Consider the following 867-nt stretch of genomic DNA (forward strand, 5'->3'; position numbering starts at 1 on the left):
TGAGAGTTTTCTAAACCATCCTCATGTAGCAAATATTTGGAAATTTGAAAAATAAATGAAATGACAGCTTTGGCAGTGTTGGCTTTCTAGTTGGTATAATACGCCTCTAAATGAAGTTAAAGTCTGATATTTGTTAATTATACTTTCATCTCTAAAAAGTACCTCTTACTTCTATTGTTCTTCAGCGACTTCTCATATCTGTTACCTCCTTAGAAGATGAAAATAATGGAGCATCCCAGCCGTGCAGAAGGATTATTTATACTGATAAAGGACCCACTGGGATCCACCATAATTCAATAGAGCATCATGTTGACAATGGGCCAGTAGCCAGTATTTTACCTTTACTCTCCTAAAGAATGAAGCATTCTTAGCCTGACTCACCTGCACAGTTTCAGGATAGATGCATCAGATTTGCTGTGCTGAAAGGCACTGGAGTAGAGGTGCCCAATCTGGCCTATTTGCAGATCCACATAGATATCTTGTTAAAAATAAGAATATAGAGCTTCACCTCAGACAGAATGAATCTTAAAATTTTCACTTGGGTTTCATGAAACTATACTTACCACAAAGTACTAATTTTCAGAAAAAGAAACTACGAACAGAAGTTACTTAGTGGTTTGTGCAGGAACTCACATTTTCAGTGTCCCCATCTATTTTCACAGTTACAGCATGCTGATGAATATATTCTAAGAAACACAATGGGAATAAAACATCTCACCAAACCATGAACTCTTTATAACAAAGTCTTTGCTAACTTGTGGCATAATCAGTATTTCCACTGCACATCTTGTGCCTAATCCTATGTAGAAACTGGAAGAAAGAAGTTTAGCTCTCTTGAAACACTACACCAGGAAGCATTTGTGTATA

Source organism: Homo sapiens, chromosome 12 (assembly GCF_000001405.40).
Source record: "Homo sapiens chromosome 12, GRCh38.p14 Primary Assembly".
Lineage (NCBI taxonomy): Eukaryota > Metazoa > Chordata > Mammalia > Primates > Hominidae > Homo > Homo sapiens.